Source organism: Homo sapiens, chromosome 9 (genome assembly GCF_000001405.40).
Source record: "Homo sapiens chromosome 9, GRCh38.p14 Primary Assembly".
In the NCBI taxonomy this organism is placed as follows: domain Eukaryota; kingdom Metazoa; phylum Chordata; class Mammalia; order Primates; family Hominidae; genus Homo; species Homo sapiens.
The window spans coordinates 116,396,456-116,404,198 of record NC_000009.12 but is presented as its reverse complement, the minus strand read 5'-3'; the positions used below and the strand labels follow the sequence as shown (position 1 = coordinate 116,404,198).

The following is a 7,743-nucleotide window of genomic DNA, read 5'->3' as shown; positions in this document are numbered from 1 at the left end:
GGTTAGAGAGTCTGTGCTTTTGTCCAAACTTTTTATTTCTGGTGTTAAAGGTTAAGAACTGAATAGATTTACTAATGCCAGTGCAGCATAATAGAGTGCCCCCTCCAAATTTTTTAAACTGAAACATTATTTTTTTTTGGATAGACAAACTCCAAAACTTGCATTATAAATATAAATGAATCAAAATACTGAATATTTCTGCCTACTTTGAAGTGAGAAAGAAATAATTTCCCATTTGACAGATTAATAAAGTCCAGTGAGCTCTCCATTACTCTGTGTGTGTGTCTGTGTACGTGTATGTGCGTGCGTGTGTGTCCATGTGTGTGTGTGTTTAGGGCTGGAGAAAGATGGAAGAAGATACTGGGATAAAGATCTTTCATCTTGAAGTAGGAAGCTCTTTGCCCCATGACTTTTTGTCTCTTCAGACGAAACCAAGGAATATAAAAAGCCACATTAAAACTCTCATCTTTTAATCTTTCTGTTTGAGAAATATTTGCCTCTTTTCAGGAGCCTATTGTCTAAATGTTGTTTCAATCTTCACATTGAATAGAACTGTGTAAAATATTTTTCTTTTGTCAATTATTTTACTTTGAAAATAACCAGTTATCTGGAAGAATTTAGCAATGACTTTTTTTTTCTTTTTTAGTAGTCTCCCTAATGTTTCTCCATGAGTTATATTTTTAGAGTCCAAAAAAAAGCCACCCCACTATGAGTAGTTCTTGACTTCCCTATCCCTGCCCTTACACATAATTCACATTGATGTTCCCACACAGCCTTTTTGTGAAAAATTCAAAATGTAGTTATCAGCAGATAAACACATATTTTGACCTGCCTTATGGTGGTACTGCCAGCTAGCAGCTCAGTGGACAGTGCTAATAAATTTACTACATAAAATGCCTGTGCAAGCTCTTGAATGATTCATGCATTTTGTTTCTATTATCTTATAAAATAAGTAGATATCAGAAAAATTAGTGTATTATTACTTGTCATAAGTAATTCTGGTCTCATACTACTCATAATGAGATAATATAATATGTTCAGCACTGTTCTAAACACTTTGCATATTTATCTCATTTAATTCTAGCAAAAACCTTATGAAATACTTTTATTATTTCCATATCACATATGGGAAAACTAAATCTTAAAGCCATTAAATAATTTTCTAAAAATCTCATAGCTACTACCTAGTGATAAGATGAACAGTGAGATACACTAGACAGATTGAAAGCAGCAACATTTCAGTTCCAGCTGCAGGCTCATTTTCACATATGTAAAATTATATATATGTGTGTGTGTGTGTGTGTGTGTGTGTGTGGAGATACATATATATATATATATATGTATATATGAGCCTGCATATGCATATATTGTGTGTATATATGTATATAAAATATGACATTTTAATACCGGAAGAGTAAGAAAGAGTTCATCTTAAAAGATAGAACTCCACAAGAATGAACAATTGACCCCACATTTTGCCTTAGACAAATGAAAACTTAGTTATGAACTAGCTCTGATCCACAGCTTAGCACTTGGGAACCACTGCACTGGTTTGTGTCTTTGGACCATACCAGTGTTTACATCTGGAAGTATATTATTAAAGGCTGTGTGCAAAAGGCAATATATAACCAAGAGTGACATATGCTTTAGCTCCCCAGAACTTTCTTATAACATGTAAGAAAGTTTTTCAGTTTTTGCATATGCAAAATTAGATACTTTCAGGAATTAATTTTGTAGAGGAATCGATATATATTGGATAAAATCTTGTTCTATCATTGATTGTCTAATTCCAGGCCCCAGGGCTCTCTCCATGTTAGCGTGTATATATGACAGCCCTTTATCATTCCGCAACACACAAAAACCACACAACAACACACTGAAGCGTACAAGCTATTATATATTTTCATAATATAGAACTTTAAAGTATAGTAATCAACAGTGGCAAAATATTTCTGTCTCTGACATTATTATTTGTGAGATCCAACCTGTAATTGAGATCAGAGAAAACAGTATGGGAAAACAAATCCATGAGAACAGGATAAAAATATCATGAACAGCAAAATATGTCTGAGTATTTAAAACTGTATAGAAAAAATAAATTAGATGAACAATTGTGTAAATATAAATTAAAAAAGATGACATTCTTAATAAATAAAGTTTACTATTTACATTTTTATATATTGCCAAAAGATTTAACTTAGATCCATAAAAACACATAAACAGAAAAAAAAATAGGAGCAGCAAATTTATGCGCGTGAGGTACAGAAAAAGGATTGGAATTGTGTTTAGTTTTTGGTGTTTAGATTATTTTCTTTGTGTCTTTCTTCTTTTTCTTTTTTTTTTTCTTTTTTACAATAGGCCAGAAGAATTCTTATGAGAACAGCTTTTAAGCACTTCAATGGAGTGTCATTTTTTTGGTAGCTTCCAGAAGGTGCCAAACAGGTTTCAACATCATATTAATTAGAAATACCCATAATAATTATAACAATAATAAAAAGGTATAATATGGTACATAAATATGGAAGAGCAGTTTGTAATATGAATACATTTTCTCTAGACGAGATCACAGTTTTATTTTGTAAATATTACATTTAAGTATATATATACACACATATATGTACAACTATATATACATGTGCATATATATGTAAATTTATATTTATATATAATATCTTTATATAGATAGATATCTGCAGACAGGTTATTGATTATAGAGACCCAAGAAAGCAACTCAATAATTGTTCAAAGTTTTCCTCACTGACTGCTGGTGTGTAGTTTAAGAAGCCCCCATTTGTTTGCACTCAGAATGCCTTATCTTCTTTTAATGGAACACTTGATGTGGAATTTTAAGTCTGAGAAGTGAGGTGCCTTCTGAAGAAGAGATTTTAGAGACTCCCTTCCTCTATAAGTTGGAAATGACCAGAAGTCTTAAGTAGACGACAGTTAGCTGACTTTGACATTGTAGGACATAATCAGCTTTTAACCAAATTATAGAACTGGTAAAGGGTAAGATCAAATTTGCCAAAAAAATAAAATATTCTCCAATACAGGTCTCTCTTTTAAGGTGGACTACAATTCAGGAGCTCCGGCTTTATTCCTTGAAATATCAAACAAGCACTCCCTGTCTTGTCTTTCTAAAAGGCCGATGGGCCTGTGCATTCTTGAATAATAACCCATGGACTTTGTGTCAAGCGTTGGCCCTCACAGCCCACCTAAAACCTCAGGGCCTCAAAATCTCCTGCCCTCCCACTGTGAGGTAGGTATATAGTATTATCCCCATTTTGCAGCTAGAGAAACTGATGCAAATGTAGAGGCAATTGGATAACTTGTTCAAGATCACTGAGCAAACTGCTGCCTGGAGTCAAAAATTCTAACTTCTGTACAACAGGGACATAATTTCTCTTTTGGCTATTATACATTTCTTTTAAAAAGCAAGTGATTGGTAGGAATTTGGCAAAAGTTGAATAAGTTACAAGAACAGGCTTTTATTCATTTGCTATTTGGTTTTTATGTTTCTTGTTTACTTCGTTTGATTTGTTTCTCAAAACTCACTCAGTGGGATTACCTGTCTGTCATGTAGCAGCTTTTTAAAAAACTGGACTGTGCAGTGTGGTTCTGAGTGCAGTCTTTATAAAGCCCAGTGCTGTACTGGTAAATATAAACATTTTATAACGTGAAAAGCACAACGACACAATATGTCCCCTTAATAGCTGGAAAAACCAATATAAGCCCTCCCACTCCCTACTACCACTGATTGCCACCAAACAAATAAACAAAATGCCCACCCCACCCAACAACAACAATAACACATCAAGGGGGAAAATGTCATATTTCCTGGACCTACCACAATGTACAGAAAATAACAGACAGTGTTATCAAATCCCACTCTATGTCTTCTAGGGAAATCTTTATGTTTGTGTCTACCTACTGAGGCTGTAGAATAAACAATTTCCTTTAGGAAACATAAAAATAGGTTTTTTATTCTTAGTTTTTAATCATGCATTTTTATTTCCTTTTAATCTCTTTGTCTTCTATTATCTCTATCTGTACAGCTTTGTCACCATTTTTTTTTATTTTCTCACTTGAAGTAGTTCCAGAAAAAAACACAAAACCTCAAAACTGTTAACTTGACCTTATAATTTCCTTTCTCTTTCTTTCTTTCTTTCTTTTTCTTTCTTTCACACAGGTAAGACCTATAACAACAAATTGACAATTACAACCAAGTTAAATCGAACCTGGAAGGGAGGTAGCTGAAATCTGTCTCAAAGAATTATTTTCAACAAATAGTATTTAAGCATTGGCCAGGATGGGAATAAGACCAAGAGAACCGTCTAGGCAGTGACTCAATGTGTTGAAGCCAGGAGTGGCAGCTGATACCCTGCATTTTCAAAGCCCTACCATCTATGACAATCTTTCCCTTCCTTAACACCCCAATTCACCATCAAAACTCATTTCCCAAGGACTGTATTTCCTTAAAAGGTTGTTGGCACAGAATCTGGGGGTAATGCAAATCCTTTGGGTAGGTAGTTAAGATTGTGGCTTGGAAAAGCTTCCCTAAATAGGGCTTAGAGGACTGTCCACCTCATCTTTCATATTTTGCTGCTAACAATCTAATACTTCAGATGCAGAACCTTCAGTGTTTTAGGGCCTTTGAGCTGCTGACACACAATAGTGCATCAGAGCTGCCTCTCAGTGCTCCGGTCACCTACACAGAAGATGACTGAAGGAATGAAATGACGAGTTAATTCCCAGGAAGAAAATGAAACTGGGAACAAATGCATTGCCCAAATTGAGCTGACCCTCCTCCACTAAGGTTTGAAAAGACCCTATTAAAGATACCTTCCATGTGGGCACGAGGTTGGCCACCAATCAAGTAGCCTCTTTTGCCTAATATCCTTGGCAAATATAAATTTGTTAGCAACAGGTCTGAATGAAAGAGACTGGGTGGGTCTTGATTCAGAAGAGCTGAATTCACTCTGTGAGTCTGAAGATACAAGTCAGCCTCCAGGAATCTTTGCTTAGCTGGATAGTGTGAAAATAGATGATGATGGGAGTGAAGATAGAAAGAGGATAAGGACTGATTTGAGGGAAGCTGGTAAGGTTCTTCTGTGGCTCCTGAAATCACATCATTAGTAATGTCATCTTTGGGTCTTCAGAGCTTTTTGTATTACCTATGGGTATAATTAAGCAACTGGGAGGGTTGATACTGTTACATTTCTTAGCTTGTACCTTCTAAGGTAGTTAACACCACACAGGCTGATAACTCAGGGCAAGAGAGAGGCCTGGAGAGTTGACAAGAGTGTGAAGATACTGGAGAGGGGTTCAAAATAGGATCAATTCTTCTAATACTATTCTTATTTCTTGCTAATAATTTGTCCTTGTAATTATAGTGAAGTAATGGTCTGGATATAAATGAGATATGGTTTTGTGAGGAAGAAACATAGAGGATTATTCTTAACAACTGTGGCAGCCTTGCCAATATGGAACCCAATTTCAGAGTTTGTGAAATGGTACAAGTCTCATAAACTATCTCAGCACTGCATCCGTATTTGTGGGCACCTGTGCCAAAAGCACCTTGATATGTTTCTTAGTGTAATTGGCCAGAGATGGCCAATAGATGTCTTCTCAAGTGTTTTTGATCACCAGGTCAGTGCTATTGGGAGTGATATAATATGGTGGTTCCTAAAGTTATTTTTGGTCTCTTTTTTTTTTTTTTTTTAAGTGCTATGATAGATTAACAACACCTGCCTTGGATGCAGGAATTAGGTGGGGCTGCACACGTGCATGGTATTTTCTATCCCTATGCTAGGTTTTGTTTCTGTTGGCTGTCTTCACTAGACTTGAGATGACTTGATTTACAGTAATCCCTATGTGATGTAACTAGTCTAGACCTTCCCTTCTCCGCAATTCCCAGCTCCAGGTTTCAGAAAGTATGCCACACTCAACCCTTCTCTCCAGTTCATCCTGTATTAATTTCTTCCCATATTAATTCAAAGGGAGTGGACAGGTCCCTGGCTGAAAAGAAATAAAGAGATCCCCAAAGTGGTGGGGGCTTCCACGTGCAGTTGACTAATTTTCACTTAACTTTTGGAGGCTAGACATGGGAGAGAGAAAAGCACTGCCCAGTCACAGGTATGGAAGGGAGTACTGCTAGCTGGAAAAACCATATAGAAAACATGATGACCATGTTGAGTTGTTGGTGCTGAGGCTGTGAACTCTTTGGCTTCCTTCTGATGGCCCTCTTGAGAACAATCTGTACTGTTCTTATAAAAGATTCTTTCTCCCAGAATTATATCTCCTCAGAGCAACAGCAAGGTTCTCAGGATCAAAGCCTACTCTAGCCTGAAGGGCTAGGAAGATTAGGATAAGGATAAGGATAATAATCCAAAAGTCTCGACAATTCCAGTAGTCTCTGGATGGCTCCAACATCATAGAAATTTAACACTGTTCCACTTGTTTACAAAATCTAACACTGGCTTAGACATTCTGGACTTTCAGTGAGGGTTCCAGCATCTGATGTCCCTCAACTCCTTTCCAGGGTGAGAGGCCCACTTACAGGAAACTTAACTTCTCACCATGTGGACCCATGAGGGTTTTTCTCTTGCAGAAGGGCTAAAAAGTGAGGAGCTATGGAAAAATGTGGGTCACTTTTAAGGCAGACTGTTTGGTTGTGTGGAATTTTTCCTAACCTAGTTCTACCATCTTGGATTATTCAATGTATAGGATAGAGCAGCAGGAAAAGTAGCAGCAAATGTGGTCCCAAGGCAAGATCTGGGGGAACAGGTAAGTCCTAGAGGGATATTATGACCTCAAGCCTCAAGCAAGGGGCTGATATAATACCTTGACATTGCAATCCTAAGCCATTCTCAGATTGGCCTCGAACCCTGGAGTTGGGGTAAAATCCCCCATGGCAGCAGAAGAATTGGGGCGCTTTGCATACCTGATAATCTTTACCTCTTCCTAGGTCCTAGTTCCCTAGAAGGTAGGGGATCACAGACTGTTTCACTTCCAATCCCAAAGGACTGCACAATTGTGCATGTCCTACATATTCTGAGCCTCAGAGTGTGAACTAGCTTGACATCTCCACACTTGGTCTTAGCAGTTTCTGCAAATTTCTTTCTCCCAAGGATAGTGTTGGCTAGGAGCTTGGGAAAGAAAAGATTGAGTTTATTCCGGTCTCTCTCTGCTCATCTCCAGAACTGCCCTCACACAGATGTTTGTATGGGTGTGTATGCATGCATGTGTACTAAACACAGATGGGCACACTCTAGATATAGAACACGTTTCTTGCTGTGGTTGTGTGACAAATGGCTAGAATTTTAGGAGGCTCTGGGACTGCACACTGTATATGCAATCCATCTCAGACTTTGGGATGGGAATCCATTTCATCATCCAGCATGGCGAAACTTGGTTCATTCGCCCCAATGTGAGTCCTTCCTGGGTAAAATTAAAGGCAGACCGGTTGGGTGCTAAGGATCCCTGGTGTGGAGAGGCCATTCCGTTGAGCAGCTGACTGTGAAATCAATACCAAAGGGATGTGGGTCCTGGCGTTGGGAATTCTTTGACAACTTCTTGTCCTTCCTTAGCCATGGCTGTATCCCCGGAGGTCTTTCCGGCTGTGTTCTTGGGCCTGGGGGTCCCGACAAGCACAGTCACCTTGTAGATCACAGGACATAGGGAATGGGGTGACCTGCAGAAAGAAGAAGTGAATCAGGTGATTTGGTCTGAAGCAGTAATGATCAG

At 37.8% G+C, this 7,743-nt stretch overlaps 1 protein-coding gene and 1 long non-coding RNA gene across 4 annotated transcripts in view; one reads left to right on the top strand and one right to left on the bottom strand.

Annotated features, from left to right (window-relative positions):
• Nucleotides 1-1,877: 1,877 nt before the first annotated feature.
• PAPPA (pappalysin 1) overlaps nt 1,878-7,743 on the bottom strand; it is a 248,531-nt gene continuing 242,665 nt past the window's right edge. For all 3 annotated transcript variants that reach the window (NM_002581.5, XM_017014784.3, XM_006717129.4), the window contains one exon: nt 1,878-7,690. In NM_002581.5, the coding sequence (NP_002572.2) occupies nt 7,583-7,690 (108 nt within the window). In that variant the 3' untranslated portion in view covers nt 1,878-7,582. The remainder of the gene's footprint in view (nt 7,691-7,743) is intronic.
• PAPPA-AS1 (PAPPA antisense RNA 1) lies at nt 3,593-6,042 on the top strand. The gene has a single exon (NR_103711.1). It is a non-coding gene; the product is annotated as a PAPPA antisense RNA 1 (long non-coding RNA).